The sequence below is a fragment of the Homo sapiens genome, chromosome 4, assembly GCF_000001405.40.
Source record: "Homo sapiens chromosome 4, GRCh38.p14 Primary Assembly".
Taxonomy (NCBI): Eukaryota; Metazoa; Chordata; class Mammalia; order Primates; family Hominidae; genus Homo; species Homo sapiens.
Window position 1 is genome coordinate 84796449 of NC_000004.12, and position 19688 is coordinate 84816136.

At 35.2% G+C, this 19688-nt stretch overlaps 1 protein-coding gene and 1 long non-coding RNA gene across 30 annotated transcripts in view; one reads left to right on the plus strand and one right to left on the minus strand.

Annotated features, from left to right (window-relative positions):
- The window catches only part of WDFY3 (WD repeat and FYVE domain containing 3), a 297094-nt gene that overhangs the window by 126852 nt on the left and 150554 nt on the right, over positions 1-19688 (minus strand). For 23 of the 29 annotated variants that reach the window (XM_011531759.3, XM_011531763.4, XM_011531760.4 and 20 more), the window contains 6 exons: positions 13439-13896; positions 11886-11969; positions 6842-7019; positions 5202-5416; positions 1548-1660; positions 73-304 (listed from right to left, as the gene is read on the minus strand). In XM_011531759.3, coding sequence (XP_011530061.1) covers positions 73-304; positions 1548-1660; positions 5202-5416; positions 6842-7019; positions 11886-11969; positions 13439-13896 — 1280 coding nt within the window. The remainder of the gene's footprint in view (positions 1-72; positions 305-1547; positions 1661-5201; positions 5417-6841; positions 7020-11885; positions 11970-13438; positions 13897-19688) is intronic. The other 6 variants (XM_047449858.1, XM_047449859.1, XM_047449857.1 and 3 more) reach the window with 1 other exon arrangement.
- On the plus strand, positions 217-14041 carry WDFY3-AS1 (WDFY3 antisense RNA 1). The gene is made up of 3 exons (NR_046707.1): positions 217-306; positions 6812-6961; positions 13603-14041. It is a non-coding gene; the product is annotated as a WDFY3 antisense RNA 1 (long non-coding RNA).

Sequence of the window (19688 nt, forward strand, 5' to 3'; positions counted from 1 at the left end):
CCAAAGATCTATTTGTAAAGGCAAGTATGACGCATAAAACCATAAAGGTTGGCTTCCTTGCAAATTTCTTACCCAAACCCTTCAAGTGATGTGTCAAATTCAACAAAAGCTGGAGTAACTGATGACCCATGAAGTCTGATGTCATGTGGGGTTGTCATGGAGACCAGACACTTCACCCTGGTCAGGGGTACAGTACTTCCTTCCGCAGATTTTACCAGGCTCTTGCTTATCCGGTAATGGTTATCTTCATGTAAGCTAAAAACATTATCAGTACCCAGACCTTCCAGAGATGTGATCATACTACCTGTAAGTCAAGGAAATCTCTTGGGAAAATGTCATATGGAATTTCAAAATAACTTTACAAGGCTGATTTATTTGTAAATACCACTTCAGTTTCAATAGACAATAATTTTTTTTTAAGTGCCAAGATCATTATCCAGTTTTAATGTACATTTACTTTTAAACTTAATAGCATGCGTTTCCTTTTTTACTAAAGCAATATGCACACTGCAGAAATGTTGGAAACTAGAGTATAAATAAAAATAAACATCTCAAATAATTGTCATCAAAGCCACTGATACAATGTAATTTAATTATAAATCTCAGTTAATAGTTTACAAATCAGGAAATACTTTTATTTCATAAAACTATGATTTATTAATTCTCTTTGAGGGAAAAGTAAACAATTTTAGACCATTAAAATGAAAAGAAATAGGTCATCTTTATTATAAAACAAATTAGAGATAAATGGCAGAAACTTGCTTCTCCCATTTTTTCCCCATTATTAATTCTTTCCTTACAATTATTAGAACTAAATGCATGATCGTAAAAGTACTTTAATTTAAAGATTCCCATATTTATAAAAAGGGTAACAATTTCAAGAATAAAAAGACAAATTCTAAACAGATTGTCATTATCTCTCCAGGGACACATTACAAATGTAATGAAGAAAATATTCTCTCTCGAAATAAACTACATGAGTATAGGAAACTGTTTTCCTCCTAAATGTGCTGGATATTCAGGCAACTACAAAGATATTTCAAATATTCTCTTAGGGAAAGGAACTATTTTTGTTTCTACTCTTAGCAAAGGAAATCACAACTCAATTCTTATTTATTTATTTATTTATTTATTTATTTATTTATTTTTTGAGACGGAGTCTTGCTCTGTCGCCCAGGCTGGAGTGCAGTGGCGCGATCTCGGCTCACTGCAAGCTCTGCCTCCCGGGTTCACGCCATTCTCCTGCCTCAGCCTCCCGAGTAGCTGGGACTACAGGCGCCTGCCACTGCGCCCGGCTAATTTTTTTTGTATTTTTTAGAAGAGACGGGGTTTCACCATGGTCTCGAACTCCCGACCTCGTGATCCGCCCGTCTCGGCCTCCCAAAGTGCTGGGATTACAGGCGTGAGCCACCGCGCCGGGCCTGTTTCCCTATTTAAATAATAAACCCTTCTCTTTCTTTGCTTTCACAAACTTCTTGAAATAATATTCATCCCCTACATGATTTTCATTCATAAAATAAATCAAAAAAGGGAATTTCAAAACTTACTTCTCATTTCTGGTTCATAACTCAGTGAACTTGGTTTGTGGACCCTATATTGTTTTAGCAGTTTTTTGTCCCAGGCACCACAATTTAAAGGACTTGCCAAACGTAAAAACTCCCTAAGAAAGAGACAAAGCAAAGTTATTCCTTGATTGAGATTATTATATAATTCATTAACCAAATATTCAGAAAAAGAATTTAATAAATTCCAACAGACTAATTACAATAAAAAAATGCAAAGTATAATAAAACAATATAGTGTTAGTTTTACATTTAATCACCATATAGCTATATATCTGACACATATTTTTTAGAATGTTTTTTAGACAGTTATTCCTTCGTTGAGAATATTATAATTCATAAACCAAACATTTTCAAAAAAGGAATTTAATAAATTCCAACAGACTAATTACAATACAAAAAATGCAAGTATAGTAAAACATACACAGTGTTAGTTTTACATCTAATCACCATATAGCTATATATCTGCTATACATTTTTATAAATTCATTTTTTAGAAGTTAATAATATTTAAGAAGAACCCCAACTCAAATATTTCTAAAACCAAACTCATCACCTTATATCCAAACCCAGGGCATTTCTTATGTTCTGCATCTCACTGAAATGTGTTTTTGTTCCTTCTTTAACTTTCCATATTCAGAAAATCAGAAAATCCTGCTATTTCTACTCATAAAAATATGGAATCTGCTCTTTTCTCTCATTCTTGCTGCTATCACCCAGACCATATTATTTTACTATTCCTAAAACAGAGTCTTAATTACCTCCTGTGACACCAATATTGCCCCAACTCAATCCATTCCTCACTATAGTCAGTATCTCACAGAACTTAAATCTACACAGTGTCACTCTATTGCTTAAGACTCTTCCATGGCTGTCCATTTCTGTAGTTGAAAACACAAAACAGCTAGCATTCAGTACCATACATGAGATGATTTCTACTGTACTCTCCAGCTTCACTGCTCCCATCTTTCCCGCAATCATAAATTCTACTTAAGACATACATAAAACTTCTGACTGCCTAAGAATGCTGTACTCCTTCTCTACCCTGGACCACCATATTTGTTTTTCTTGTTGGGGAAAAAAATCTTGCCCTTACTTTTTCACCTGATTAACTCTCTTCCATACTTTAGAGTTTTTTATTTATCATCATTTTTTTGTGTGTGTGAGACAGCCTCTTGCTCTGTCACTCAGACTGGAGTGCAGTGGTGTGATCATAGCTCACTGCAATCTCAAACTCTTGGGCCCAAGAGATCCTTCGGCCTCAGTCTCCCAAATAACAAGGACTACAGGCACACGCCACCATGCTAGTTAATACATATATATATATATTTTTTTTTTTTTTGTAGAAACAGGGTCTCACTATGTTATTCAGGCTTATTTCAAACTGCTGACCTCAAGTAATCCTCCTGCGTTGGCCTCCCAAAGTGTTGGGATTACAGGCATGAGCCACACTGCCTGGCCTCATACTTTATTTCATTAACTGTCATTTCCTCCAGGAAGCCTGCTTTGAGTCACACTTCCAAAAGTCTCTGCCCCTATATAAACTCTGTAACACTGCTATTACGAACTTAATAAACAATATTTTCATTTCCTGCTTATCTGCATGTATTCTTTACTAGACGATACATTTTTTAAGAGCATAAACCCTCCATAACCTGTCATTTATAACATCATGTTAAAAAAAAAAGTAGAATACTCCAAATTTTCAACTCCCTACAGCAGGAAACAAAAAAGGCTTACAAGTTAGGTTTGCCAGTTTTTCATGTAGAACGTTAGACACAATTAGTTTATAATCTATGGCTTTTAAGTAGCAAAGTACTTGTACCATCATTTGACTTCTTTTTTCTGAGAACTCACTAATTGTGAAAACTGACCATACCCAATGGTTGATTTTCATTGCTTATTCTATTTATCTAACTATGCAATGTAAGTTATCTGGTAAAATAGTAGCATTAGGTATGGGACAATGTCTCTCTCTCTCTCTGTGTGTTTCTCTACTTTTAAAGTAGCAGATTACCAAAAAGGATCAGGGGAAAATCTCAATGCTATTTTCAAAACTTTAGGACGGTGAGTACAACTACAAGATAATGGATGAAGTGAGTAGGTCCATCTCACTCATCTTGGCATTATAAAGGCCGTGAACACAGCCTGATACAACACCATTTAACAAATGTTTACTGCATAAAAGTTTCTTAATCCACAATCAGTTTGGAGTCAGTTTTAAAAACTTACAAATAAATTTCAACCATTTTTAAGAAAGCTCCTAAAAGTTTTATAAAAGAGGAGTACTCTAATAATAAGTTATGTAACAGCAGTGTTATAGAGTTTATATAGGGGCAGCCTACCCAGACTTTTGGAAGGGTGGCTCAAAGCAGGAGGCTTCCTGGAGGAAATGACAGATATATATGAATCATTCAAGAAATACACATATGTAAGTATATATTTCTTGAATGATTCACAAACTCTGATACATCCATACTGTGGAACATTATTCATAATAAAAAGAAAAAACTACTGATACATGTAACAACTTGTGTGCAGCTCAAGAGCAATATGATTAGTGAAGAGACAATCTGAAAAGATCACATACTGTATAACTTCATTTATGTAACATTCTCAAAATCAGTGGTACCCAACCTTTTTGGCATCAGGGAGCGGTTTTGTGGAAGACAATTTTTTCACAGATGGATTGTGGAGGATGGTTTCAGAATGAAACTGTTCCACCTCAGATCATCAGGTATTAGATTATTTAGATTCTCATAAGGAGTGCCCAACCTAGATCCCTTGCATGCACAGTTCACAATAGGGTTCACGCTCCTATGAGTATCTAATGCTACTGCTGATTTGACAGGAGGCAGAGCACAGGCGGAAATGCTGGCTCACCCACAGCTTACCTCCTGCTGTGCGGCCCAGTTCCTAACAGGACATGGACCAGTACTGGTCCATGGCTCGGGGGTTTGAGACCCCTGCTCATAACGACAAAACTATGGAGATGGAGAACAGATCAGTGATTTCCATGGGCTAAGGGCTAACGATGTTGGGGTTAGGGGAGTGGGTATGACAATAAAGGTAGCACTAGAGAAATCTTTGTGACATCGTAATTGTGTGGTGATTACATGAATCTACACATGATACAATAACAGATAATTGTATGTGCACATGAATACATCATACCAATATCAATTTCTTGGTTTGGATACTGTAGTATAGTTATGTAAGGTGTAACTACTGGAGGAAAATGGGCAAAGAGCACAGGAAAACTCTTGGATCTATATTCACAACTTATGGTGAATCTATTATTTCAAAATTAAAAGGTTAAAAAGTATTTCTTTAAAAACTTCTTACATATGAAAAGTTATTAAATATAAAGTAAACGCATGACTTCATTTTTAAAGGAAAGTGAGAGCTTGCTAGATTCAAATGAAAGAAATAACTGATGGACAGAAACACTAAATGATTACTAATAACTAGATTTATTTGTTTCTAAGTGCCATATTTTGAGTATTTTGTCCATTTTTGTTATATTTTGCCCATAGATAACTGAATATATGTCCATTAAGGCAGGAATTCTGGAATCATAAGGACTCTAGAAACTGACATTACTAATTGTGGACTATTTGAGTATGAAAGAGAACTTACCTCAACACCATGGGTTCCAGAGCCTGAGAGGCTAATCGTTCAAACATCCGCTGCAGGGGCGGGTGCAGTGAGTGGTCCTCATCAGCCAATGCAGCACTGCACCTCTGCAGCAGTCGTGCATGAAGACCAGCTTCACACATGACTTGCTGGTTCCTTTCTGTGTGCACCAGGGATTGTAAAATATTTGCCACGGCAAGTTGAAGATCCAAAGCATGCTAAAATCAACAAAGAAATCCACACAGTCAGGTCATTCTTAGTGAGAAAGATGACAATTCTTTTCACATGAAGCATACCTTTTTAATTTTTTTTTTTTTTGAGACGGAGTTTCGCTCTTGTTGTCCAGGCTGGAGTGCAATGGTGTGATCTCGCCTCATTGCAACCTCTGCCTTGCAGGTTCAAGTGATTCTCCTGCCACAGCCTCCCAAGTAACTGGGATAACAGGCGCCCACCACCACGCCCAGTTAACTTTTGTATTTTTAGTAGAGACAGGGTTTCACCATGTTGGCTAGGCTGGTCTCAAACTCCTGACCTCAGGTGATCCACCTGCCTCAGCCTCCCAAGTGTTAGGATTACAGGCGTGAGCCACCGCACCCGGCAGAAGCATACTTTTTTTTTTTTTTTGAGACAGAGTCTTGCTCTGTCACCCAGGTTGGAGTGCAATTGTGTGATCTCGGCTCTCGGCTCACTGCAACCTCCGCCTCCTGGGTTCAAGCAATTCTCCTGCCTCAGTCCGCCGAGTAGCTCGGACTACAGGTGCCTGCCACCATGCCAGGCTAATTTTTTGCATTTTTTGTATTTTTAGTAGAGGCAGAGTTTCACTGTGTTAGCCAGGATGGTCTTGATCTCCTGACCTCGTGATACACCCGCCTCAGCCTCCCAAAGTGCTGGGATTACAGGCGTGAGCCACCGCGCCTGGCCAGAAGCATACCTTTTAATATGAAGTCTCTATATGCTTCCAAATACATTCAGATAAGTAACTTGCTTAGAGCAATATAGCAATTCCAGAACAGGTTAGGCAAACATGTCCTATTTTAATTTGCTAGAAGTACAGGCAGCTGGACTCTATTCTCTTCCAAGCCTTTTGTATTACATGACTATATGACTAAAAGTAGTTCTATTTTTATAGAAATAGCAGGGATAAAATCTTCTTAATGGTGGGCAGATAACTAGTTTAAAGGCAAGCCTATTGTTTACATCTGTGACACTTTAGGCCTTAGAGGCTATATAACATTTTAATAAAAATCATCACCCAAACTCCAATTCGCTCAAACTCTTGAGTGCAACAAGTCAAAACAGACAAATAGCCTCAATGTAGTATCTTCAGTCATTTTTCCTTCTGTATTATTCGTTAGCAATGTCCACTGCTGAGCAGGATTTATAAGGAGAAACAGAATTATTCTAGCACCAGAAGAAGCCACCTTGGTTGTCTTTGTAATGAATGAATTAGATTCTAAAACATACATATCTACCATTTATCATGAAAGGTAACACTCAAATAAAAAAATCCTTTTTTTTCCCCTTCAGCTACTTTAGTATGTAATATTAACTTTCTTCCTCAACCCCCTAGCTCATATAATCATACTCACATCCTTTCATTCATTTCATTACAGACGGGAAGGAACTAACATATTCAAGCTTACTTCTGGCTGTGTCACTGACCCAACAGAGGCCAGTAGGTCCAGCATGGCAAGCATGGCTCCAGGATGAATGATGACTGCATCAGAACTCTGCAGAGATGAAGTTGTCACATGTAGTTTCAGGTCGGCAACATTTTTAGGAGGGTAAACAGGGGGAGTTGAAACAGAATGATATGCATGCCTATAAAAAAAGAAAGAGTAAATTTGGTATTGAATTCCAATCACATTCTCTTCCTCTTCAGTTACTTTCATCCACTGATAACCAAAAAGCCTTGTTAGAAAACACCTTAAGGTTGGGATAGAAAAAAAGGAATATATTATCAACTCGAGTTGATATGTGTGTGTGTCCGCATGTGTGTGGGTGGGTGTGTGCAGACCATGTAACTATCCATTATTCATAGCCTTTATATGATTTTTACTTTTACTGATTTACTATATGGATTGTTTGATTAAAAAATGACACCTGTACCACAAGATGTAAAGAACAAGTACAATCACAGTGATTCAAAGCTCTAGAAGATGACAGTTCCAATAATACGTGATGAGAGATCAAATTAAATTAATTCCCTCAGTGAGATTTTATCTTTTGAAATTACCTATATGTGTTTTAACCTTTCCTTAGTGCATGAGTAACACAATCAACAACTAACTGGGTCAGCTGAGTCAGGGTTGTCTCAGAGTCTAAGCTATCCAAGAATAAATATATTTGGCATTGTGGGAGTTTTCCTTTAGCTTATTTGGAACTACTTTCATCTTCTGCATCTATCCTCATTATCACTGAAAATATTCATTGCAACTTTTAAAAACTTGAAAGCAATTTACAGAAAAAGTTTCTATGAATTAGAAAGCCCAGCCATGTCCTGAATGTACACATTTCTTCTCATCAATGATCTCTACTTTCTATTTCATACTACTCATCTACAATTCATGAATTTTGCACATTTTGCATCTTGGCACTAAGAAACAGATGCTTGTGGCTTCAGCCTATGGGAACTCTTTGTTCCAATGAGTTGGTCTCAGCATAATTTGCCTAATGCTGAGCTCTGTCACAGAGAGCAATGCAGTTTTAGCTCTCTGGGACAAGAGCAGCTTGGGAAACAGATGCTTTACGTCACTGATTTAGTAGCAAAGAATTGGCACTGCCGTGGTTTAAAAAAAATACCGTTCTCTTTTTAACAGGGATTCTAGGAAAATGTTCCGCTTTACTTATAAAAAGGCACACAGGCTCTCCTAGTTTATTTAAAAGGCAGCATGTCCTTTACCCATTCATGTTTTCACTCCCTGTATTCTGCCATTTTTCATTCAAAAAGATTTAATTTCTAAACTTACTAAGAAAAATATTCAAAATGTGTATTACCAACAGTTATCCTCCTCCTATATTGCTCCCTTTATTCTTTTAAATATTTTGATCCATCTAGAAAAAAGATTCATAATTTATCTAGCATGTATCAGAAATAACCACTGAATTCCAAAATTTCATTAAACATGTTTTCATTGCATATACACACATACGCATAGATTCTAATTGTCTTATTTTAGTTATAGGCCTTCCAAAATCATTTCTAAATTGACAGATTTGATGAGATTTGGATTTAAATTACTGATACACTCAGGAAGAAATCTTTACATCTTTGGACACTGAACTCTTTACTAACACAGGTTGAGTACCCCTAATCCAAAAATCTGAAATCTGAAATGCTCCAAAATCCAAAACTTTTTAAGCACCCACATGACGCCATAAGTAGAAAATTTCACATCTGACCTTATATGATGGATCAGAGTCAAAACACAGTCAAAACTTTGTTTCATGTACAAAATTATTAAAAATATTACATAAAATTATCTTCTGGCTACTTGTATAAGATGTATATGCAACATAAGTAAATTATGTGTCTGGACTTGGGTCCCATACTCAAGATATCTCATTATATATATTGCAAATATTACAAAATCCAAAAAAGTGGAAATTAAAACAATTCTGGTCCCAAGTATTTTGGATAAGAAATACTCAACCTGTATATAATTATTACAGTAGTACATTTTTTATCTTATATAAGAAAGCAATATTCTGAAAAAGGAATTACATTCATTGTTTTCAAACCAGAAAAATATTGCAAACATTGCTGATATCTAAAACACGGTATTTATTAACTAAAATTAGGTGTATTACAACAGGCATTATACAAAATTAATTCTGATTAAATCACCTAGGTATCACCACAGGTATCACCTTTTAAATTTTGGAATTATGGTAAGCTTATTAAATGGCTAATTCCCAAGCAAGAACTAACCATTTGCAAAGATAGGATAAAATTACATTTCATAATTTGGTTGCTATTTAATATTTTGACCTAAATTCTCATATATATTTAAGATTCATCTACCTCTTTTGGGAATACATAATATTTAAATTCTGAATCTGCTTTGCTTAACTTATCATCAGGTATGTAGAGGCACTAAGTAATGGATCCCATGTTTGAAGAATAACAAGTACTTGCCACCTTTTGTTCCATTGCAGTTATATTCTGTAGAGTTCTGATTATTATTTTGTATTCACTTCTTCTAACTCTGATTGAACACTGTTCAGCTATAATTCTGTTCTATTATTCCTTCTGAATAATCAACAATGAAAAAGGTTTTGAGTTTTAGTTTTCCAAATATAAAGTCAGCTAGTTCATTTTCCCCCAATCCTTAAAATAATTAGAGAAGAATCTCCTGGATACTACATGTCAGACAAGTATCACAACCTCAAAACGTCCTTAGCATCTGAGAGTGTTCCACAAGCCATAAAAACACAGTCAAATTTTGGTTTCTCCTTTTGCCAACAAAACAGTATGTTTTGCTACAAGAAAAAGATGTCTATAAGCTGATGTAATTTGTTGAGAGGTTCTAGAAACAGTGTGACTTAAATTCTAATTTCAAGTCACTAGACTTGAATTTGTGAAGTAAAAAACATAATATTCTTTACTAGCTTATGATTCTTACCATTGAGCAAAATGTATGCAAGCTGAATAGAATGGCAACCTGAAAATGTCAACAATCATCTTAGTATTAGCATGAACAGTATCAGGGACTTTCTGTCCTTGGGGTAATGTCAACTTGTAAGACTCATGGAGAATTCACACGGATTAGGGCTCAATCAACTAGCTATACTGATTTAGTGACAGTTTTCCCTTAAGTCAAAGACCTGGTTATCTCTACATGGAGCTACACTGTAAATGATGACAATATGTTTTTGATTTAAGGCCATAAGTAACTCTTTAAGAATAAAAAGAGAATGCTGTTTTCCCTTTGTCAAATTACCATTTCAATAAATAGAAAGTTCTGATGTATTTTTGGAAATGGAGTCTCGCTCTGTAGTCTAGGCTGGAGTGCAGTGCGGTGATCTCGGCTCACTGCAACCTCCGCCTCCTTCGTTCATGCAGTTCTCCTGACTCAGCTCCTGAGTAGCTGGGATTACAGGTGCACGCTGCCATGCCCGGCCAATTTTTTTTTTTGTATTTTAGTAGAGATGGGGTTTCACCGTGTTGCCAGGCTGGTCTTAAACTCCTGACCTCAGGCAATCCACCCGCCTTGGCCTCCCAAAGTGCTAGGATTACAGGTGCGAGCCACCGCACCTGGCCCTGATGTATTTTTTTAAGTATCCTTTTAATCTGTGTATTTTTATTTTGTGGCATTTGGTTAATACTTAAAAAGGACTAAATGTTTTTAAACAGCAAATTTTAAGGCTTTACTCATTTATGATATAATCACCATATTTTTAAATTGTGATTTTTAGTAATTTAAACTACTAATTGAAATTATTTCTCTAATATTCAACAATTCCTTGGGCTCATGAACAAACATAAATTTTCAAACACACACATTTTTTACCTCGACCATTTTAGCAACAGAAAAATACACGATATCAACTCAAATTTATCTAGTTTATCATTCCTTGAATTAGGAACAGCTTTTTTAAAAAAAGAAATTGCAGTTTTTAAGCACAAATATACTGAACAATCCTATATTCATTTAAGACTATTCTGAACCATGCCATAGTTTGTTGTGCAAAGTAAGCTATAAGTGTAAATTTAAGAGAAAAATGAAATTACATCTTTTCATATACCTAATATTACTATGCAAATATGTTGAAATACTGAATCCGTAACAAATACTTTTGATGTACTAACTCCAACTATCTTCAAGTTTCAAAATCTGAACAACAGTAATAAGATTAAAACAACAATATAGCAGAACCTTGGGATTCATTTTTTAAAAGCCTCAATGAAAGAATATTAATGTAAGAGTTAAGGACTTATTTTTGGTTATGAGGAAAACAGGAAAAGTAATGAAGTATTTGGGGCCAACTGCAGACCATGATCATTTTATGTGCAGGTTGCATCAATCAACTGTAGTTTTTAAAAAACTGAGTAGAATTTTTTTAAAGGTAGTTTTAAAAAGATCAACTAGATCAGCTTAGAGATTTACAGAGCACTGATCAAAGTAAGTATTGGGGTGGGTTTTTTACTAACTTTTTCAAAGCTTAGCTGTGAGCATTTTTCATAACAGCAACATACTTCAATTGGTTGAATCTGATGGAGAAAATACACAGTTCCTTTCAGTGCTATGAAATTCATTTTGGAATAACAGTAAAAACCAACAAATGATCCCAACGTTTAAAGTAAAAAATAAAAAAAAAATGAAAAATAAAAAAAGTGGAAAAGTATTCTACTTAGAGACATTAAGTCCACATTTCTAACTTATTTTTAATAAAAGACATGTTTTTTCTATAACAAAAATGTGTAGTTTAGTTATGAAAACAGTTGGATGACAAAATTATATATGTCCTTCATAGTTTCATAGCATCAACACATTTTACTCTCATGAAAAACTGATATCTTTAAAATCTAAAAACACCCCCCAAAACCCCAAAAGTAAAAACAAAACAAAACAAAACAAAAAAAAACTGAAATCACAAAACACAATCAACATGTTAACATAAATAAGCACAGAAAAAAAGGAACCCCACACAAATAGAGACTGACTTCTCTTATATGATCAGTACCTTTTCCTGGACAAAGCTGGTGTACCCCAAGGAGAGGGGAGAGAAGACTCACTTGTCAGGCAAGGAGGGATCTGTTCTGCACGACTACAGACAACAAAACAGACAGGGTGGTTTAGAGAGGTTAGAAGAAGAGAACACCAGGTTGGCAGTTGGTTAGTTTCACAAGAAATGCCAGTAAAAGTTTAATAAGGAACATCTTCCATATTCAGCAGGAACAAGGAACAAGACTACAACACAAGCACTGAATGAAACAGAAAAGCATGCTCACGGCAGATGCTTATTCCATTCATGTTAACATTTAACACATCTGTTAAACAGGGTGCTCTAAGCCCTATTTTTGACAGTGACTAAAAATGATGTATTCTAACTAGGATAAGTAGAAATCAAGGGAAAAGAGGTTGAATCTGAATACACAAATTTATATAGCTCATTCCTAGAACACTACACTGTCCTGTGTTTTCGATAAATTAACTATACATATGCATTTTACTTCAAGATAGGGAAAAGCAGAAGTTTAATGATTTTTTTTTTTACAATTGTTGTCAAAGCTGTTTGGATTTTTAAATGTAAATACTGAGGACTAAGAAATCTTGTTAAGAAGCAGGAAATATCTCAGTTGATACTTCAAAGCAGATATTCCACAGAAAAGGACACAAAACCTATTACAAGCTCTATCCAATGTAGTTACATGGTCTATTGATGAGGGCAGTTCATTTATTTTATGTAGTAAAACTATGGTAAGTTAAAAGCAATAACACTTGGGGCATAAATTAGAAGTATTATTTTCAAAGTGACATCTTCATTGAAAACACAGTTGAAGCACTGAAAATAAGTGATCTAGATGAAGTGGCTCTCCTACAATCTGCCTGAGAACCCTGGATTCCCCCACTGTAGAATGTGTCACACTATATGTAATTGTTTATTTATGTGTCTACATTTTAGCTAAAAGATAGCAAGGACCAAGACAGCCCTGTGTAGAGCTGAATCCTCAATGCCTAGCACAGTGACTTGGCATGCAGCAGCTTTTTGTTAAGTACTTATTTCATGAAGGAATGAGTAAATATTGAGTCTGATGGCCTCTTGAACTTGACGGTTCAAGACACTGACACCTCTCTTTGGGAACTATATCATTTTTTGAGGAGTATGATATGTGGAGAATGATGGAGTACGTGTCTGGAAATAAGAATAATCATAATGATGTTCTATTGATAACACATATCAATAAGTCCAGATGCACCTTTTGAGGCTAAAAAGAAAAAAAACAACAGTAAACACTATCATTAAAGGAAACTTCATAGAAACTGTTCCAATAACTGCAATGAGAACTAATTGAACCTGAATTTACAAATAGTACACAGGCTTCCATGCTAAAAAAAAAAAAAAACAATACCAGAGCAAGAGTAATATTCAAAAATAAAGTGATACACTTCAAACAAATAGGAGAAGAGTCATCTGTTTTCATATTCTTTTGGATTAACTCATAATTCAAGTCTTAATGTTGAAGTCATGCTTAGTATACACCCTTTAATTCAGAGGACAGAGCAGAGCCATACCTGTCAAAAGAATCTGTGGCTACTTTGTAAAGATAAATAAAAAGTTTACTGCAGTGCCGTAACGTGGGTGACACTGATTCTATTGAGATTACATCTTCCTCTAAAAGTCTTTGAAATGGCTGTGTATTTGAGGGGAAGACATTCATGGCGCTTATTTTTCTTAGGTCTGAGAAGCAGCCAAGAAATCGAACAGCATCTGCCAACTTCTCATACTGAATCTCTGTTTTGAAGAAATGAGAGTTGGCTGGCTCATAGCGCATTGCTGCAGTCAACGTGCAGAACACAGTGTGAAGAAGTTCAAACACTTGATTCTGGTTCACTTTCTCCCAGCCATTCTTGGGTGGACAGCTCAAAGATCTTTCCATAGCAACGAGCAAGGATGTAATGTACACAAATCCTCCAACTTTCCTAAAAACTGTTCTTGAACGATGGCTTTCTCGAAGGACCGACAGGAGGGCCTACAGGAGACAAAAGAAAAAACAAATGAAAATACACATAATTCAAAAAAAAAAAAAAACCACTATGCATGTATATGGAGGTTGTACATTCTGTGAATCTGACATGTTTTTATCATTTACCCAATAAACGGTCCTATAAAGCATATCAAATAGTTTGCTAATTAAAAAAGCCACATTAAATGCTGAAGGTAATTTTAGGAAACACTATCACATATTTCTTTGATAGAATAAAGCTACATCCAAATATTGGCTGAAAAGCTTTTCCAGAGTCTTTAACTGATTATGACATCAATGAATTCAGTGACTTTACAAAGTAAGTAAAATATATCTTCTAGTCTAGTTTTACACAATCATGAGAACTTATGACTGTGTGTATACAAACTGATTAATTCTAGAAGGGATCACAGAGATGGTCAGAGCAGCCAAGATCTGAGGTCTTTTGTCTCACATAAAGTGACCATATTCATGCTTTAGAAAGCAGATTCACTTTAGAAGACTTATTAAACATTCTCTTTTGCAAAATGAACTGAAGCCTAAGGGTTGAAAGTATGGCTTTTCCCAAAACAGCTGTAAGCTTTAAAAAAGAAAACAAGTAAATAAGTAAATCAAACATTTACTTTCTGAACTGTCATAATTTTAACTTAGCTTATGATTTTTTTTCTTTTAAAACACAAACAGAGTCATGCTCTATCACCCAGCTTGGAGTGCTATGGCATGATCTTGGCTCACTGCAACCTCTACCTCCTGGGTTCAAGCAATTCTCGTGCCTCAGCCTCCTGAGTAGCTGGGATTACAGGCACGCACCACTATGCCCAGTTAATTTTTTGTATTTTTAGTAGAGATGGGGTTTCACCATATTGGCCAGGCTAGTCTCAAACTCCTAGTCTCAAGTGATCCACCCACCTCTGCCTCTCAAAGTGCTGGGATTACAGGCGTGAGCCACCGCCCTGGCCAGCTTATGATTTTAAAAAACACATTACAAAATCACCTAATATTTTATCAGGCACTTGCTATGTACTAGGCACTCTAGGTGCTTTTATGCACTAGCTTATTTAATCCTTTCAACAATCCTATGGGTAAGGTACTATTATTATTTCCACTTTATCGATAAGGAATTGAGGCCCAATGTGGTAAAATAACTCTCCAAAGACTATACAACTTATAAAATGGTAAAGGTAGAATTTAAACCTAGGCAGTCTAATTACCCTACTCCTGCACTTAATCATGACATTATGCCCCAAACAGCAAGCTGAAATCTTTTTCATGGATACAGTGGGCTCCTTTGCCCTCTGTTTCATTAATTGTAGCACAATGGGTATCTACTATTACTTAAGATATAATTTCTAATCTGTCCAATCATCGCATTTGAAAAAGTCATTTTTTTTTAAAAGATCTCACACATTTCTAATGGTATCTGAAGAATGAAAAGGCTACATACAGGTTGAATATCCATTATTTAAAGTGTTTGGCACCAGAAAGGTTTCGGATTTTGGAATATTTGCACATATACAGTAAGTTATCTAAACATAAAATTCATGTATGTTTCATATATACCTTATACACATAGCCTGAAGGTAATTTTATACAATATTTTAAATAATTTTGCTCATGCAACTTTACCATCACATGAGGTCAGGTGTGGAATTTTCCACTTGTCAGCACTCAAAAAGATTGCAGCATTTTGAATTTCAGGTTTTTGGATGAGGGATGCTCAACCTGTATTAATATATTAGTCACCTTTTGACATATACTGTTTCAGAAGTTATGAAGATTTCATTGTTCACACCTATTCCTTAATATTTTAAAAGACAGAAAATATGCAATCTGTATGTAAATAAAATATAAAAACAATGTTTCTTCCAATAGTCTTCAATCAATAAATTTACATTTTAGTATCTGGTAACAATATAGTTAGTTTCCCTATCTTGTCAAATTTAATAAACTATATGAATACTTAAAATATTTCATATTAACAAAAGACTTAACACAGACATGTATGCGCATGCACGCACACACACACACATACACTCCTTATAACACAGGCTGAAGATGGCTGAACTCAGGATGCTTGGGGTCATATTCTGACTCCAACATTAAAAAGTATTTAACCATCCCAGTTACTTAACCTTTCTGTGTCACAGTTCCCTCTTATGTAAAATGGAAACAACAATAACTAACCTCAAAGGAAATACATGTAAGAACCCTTAGAGAAGTGCCCGGCATATAAGCCTATCACTATCATCAATTTTCAAAAACATACTGGGAGAAAAATATGACAAGTATTATTTTATAGATGAGGAGGGGTGAGTTCAAAGTTAAAGTAACATGTACAAAATGCTATCACTGGTTAGAATTATGACTGAGGTTAGAAAAACTGCTGCTTACGAATCTTAGTCCAATAATTTATATTATGTACTTCTGGACAGGCCCACCTCCTACTTCCTCAAAACTGGTATCTGTTGTTGCTCTGACATTATCCCAAGCACAATCTCAGTATTCGAAAAATTTCAAATACCATGAATAATGTAACTTCCCACTTACATCAATAAATGATGACAAGTAGCAAACACCAAAGCTGCAATGAGATCTGGAGGCTGCTTGGTTAATTAGACAAAATCAGCTATATATTACTTATATTTGCATAAATACAATTCATACAATTCAAATTTGTGCATCAGGAGAATTTCCATGACATGTCATGGAATGTCAGGTTTGTGTATAAATAATTACAAATTAAATGACATAGTTCTGTGGTATATGTCAGTTGAATGGAGGCACTATGTAATTACAAATTAAATTACATAGGTCTGTGGTATATGTCAGTTGAATGGAGGCACTAAGAAGCAATTCTGAATGAAGTAAAAATGGAAATTGAAACTGAGAACCCACATTTTCCCTATTGGCTCTCAGCGCTACTTTTTCCCTTCAAAGCAGAATGCCAGAGCTAGCTCATACCGGCTCTCAAGAGGTCAAGTGCCATATTTTCAGGAATTTTGTAAGTCAGTTGTTAAACGTACAATCATAATTAAAAATTAAGTAACAAATTTACAACTAAGTATTTTACAGACAAAATACTCAAAACTCATCAGTTTCTAATTATTTTCTGAATTTTACTATTATCTATGCTTTTACGTATCTGCATGAGGAAATGCTATATAATGGTGTACTACTGTGCAACTCTTTCCAATCCACATTCAGTGGCACATTAGTTGACTGAATAGGCCACAATGTGAGTATTTATACCCTGGAAATCAGTAAATGCAAAATATCATGACTCTCTCCTGCCCTCTTCCAGCCTGAGAATCAGTTACTAACATTAACCAGAACACTGCCTCAAAATTACGGGTCAGCCAATTACTTCTTGTTGGCTTTACTTACCAATATTTAAAAAATCCAATTAATAAGGTACCAAAAGAGGAGAAAATGGTATGTTAAAAAAAAGTTGGCAACCTTAGCATCTTTTGAAGCCATCTATGTTCTCCCAACAATTCCTTCAAATATAAAATGTTCTTCAAATATCGACACTCATGTGGATATCCTTTTTGTCTAACAGATAAATTGCGGTGAGATTAATCTTGCTTTTAAGATGCATATTCAAAATTGTCATTATACACCATCAAAACATGATGAAATATATGACAGCATAAGGAAAGAAATGCTATTTTTTCATTACCAATGAAACATTTAATTGAATAAAAGTAAAAGAAAATAGAAGTAATAACTACTAATGTCTGTGGCTGGAATGGGGTATGTAGGAAACTAGTATATGCCACCCCAAAATACGCCACTATGGCATAAGGATTATTTTCAGTTGAAGGCAATTGGGAAGAAGTAGATATAAGAAAACTCTCTGCCATCCCCTATTTGATGAAGTCAGACCCTTCCCAGCCTGGAGACAGCAAAGAAATGCACACAACAAACTACCAACTATTCTTTATCTACCATTTATTTGCCTTCCCACAAGTTGATATCCCTAGAGTCCGTTTCCTTTATGTCATCATTTCTCTAAAAATGTACTGTTCTTTGCGGAGAATGCTATACAGTGGTCCCCCTTCTCTGCAGTTTTGCTTTCCTTCGTTTTAGTTACCTGTGCTCAAACTTGGCCTAAAAATATTGAATGAAAAATACCAGAAACAACAATTCAAAAGTCTTAAATTGTGTATTGTTCAGAGTAACATGATGAAATCTCACACTGCCCCACACCACTGTGACTCATCCCTGTGTCCAGTGTACATATGCTGCAAAAGCCACCTGCCTGTTAGTCACTGAGCAGAGTCTCGGTTATCAGAGCAACTGTGGAGGTTTCCCAGTCCCTGTGTTCAAGTAACCCTTATTTTACTTAATAGTGGTCCCAAAGCACAAGAGTAGTGACACTGGCATATTGTTATAATTATTCTATCTTATTATTGGTTATTGTTGTTAATCTCTTACTGTGCCTAATTTATAAATTAAATGTTATCACAGGTATGAATATACACAGGAAAAAAACATAGTATATATAGCATTCCATACTATCTGCAGTTTCAGGCATTTCTGGGGGGTCTTAGAATGTATTCCCCCGAAGATATGGGGGGACTACCATACAAAATGGAGTTCTAAGCCACCTCTTTGAGAATTAGTTATCTTTCCCTGGTTGTTTCCCACGCACATATGAGGTAGACATGTTAATAAACTTGTTTGTTTTTCTCTTGTTAATTTGTCTTTTGTAACACTGGTCTGTCCTAGTTAAGAACTCAGCAGGTAGAGGAAAAATAATGTTTTTCTCATCTACAGGTGAGAGTACTAGTAGAGGAAGTGAAAGGAGATGGAGATCGGGTCACAAGGGCCTTGGAAGCAAGGTTAAACACACTGGTTTGTCTGTTATTATTTTAATGTCATTTTAGACTTGAAGAAAAACTGCATAAATAGTTCAAAGAATTCACAGATATCCTTCATTCAGATTCTTGAAAAATTACCATTTTACTTAATTTCTCTCTTTCTCCCCTTCCCTTTTCCCCTAAAAGCTTCAGTGTTTTTCAAAAAAAGGAATTCTCTTACTACTCACAGTACAATGCTCAAAATCAGAGAACTAACGTTCAAACAATACAATTATTTTATCTACAGACCTTGTGTTTTTTCCAAATCCCAATAATATCCTCCATAGCAAAGGAAAATACAAGTTCATGTACTATATTCAGTAGTCACTTCAACCTCTACTTTTTGGAACAGTTCCTACGTCATTTTTAATTTCATTTCATCTCCTTTTTCTAAGAGTTTAGGCCAATTATTTCATAGAAAGTCCTCCAATTAGGATTTATCTGATGTTTTCTAATAATCAGATTCATATTATATACTTTTGGGAGGAAAAAGTACAAAAATGAGCTGAATTTTTCTCAGTGCTTCCTATCAGGAGGTGTATGCTATTCATCTGTCCATCACTGGCAAAGTTAATGCTGATCATTTAGTTACGGTAGGGTCCATTGTAAAGCTAATATTTTAGCACTCGAAATTAAGAAATATCTTTTAAGGATAAAATTTAAGAGTACGCAAAAATCCTTTCACTTCTAAAACTTTCATCTACTATCTTTAGTATCCAGTGATGAATTTTACTTGAATCAATTATTACTACGATAGTTCATAAATTGTGATTTTCTTTGACTTTTGACTATAAGTAAGAGTTTTTCCTCTTCTCTATTTGTTTGATTGTACTTACTTAATTGCTTATTTTCTTTGATCTCTTCTTTACTTTTTCAAGGCTAACTGAAATGTTTTAGGCTCATTTTGTTTCTTTCTCTGCCCTCGTCCTGGAATCA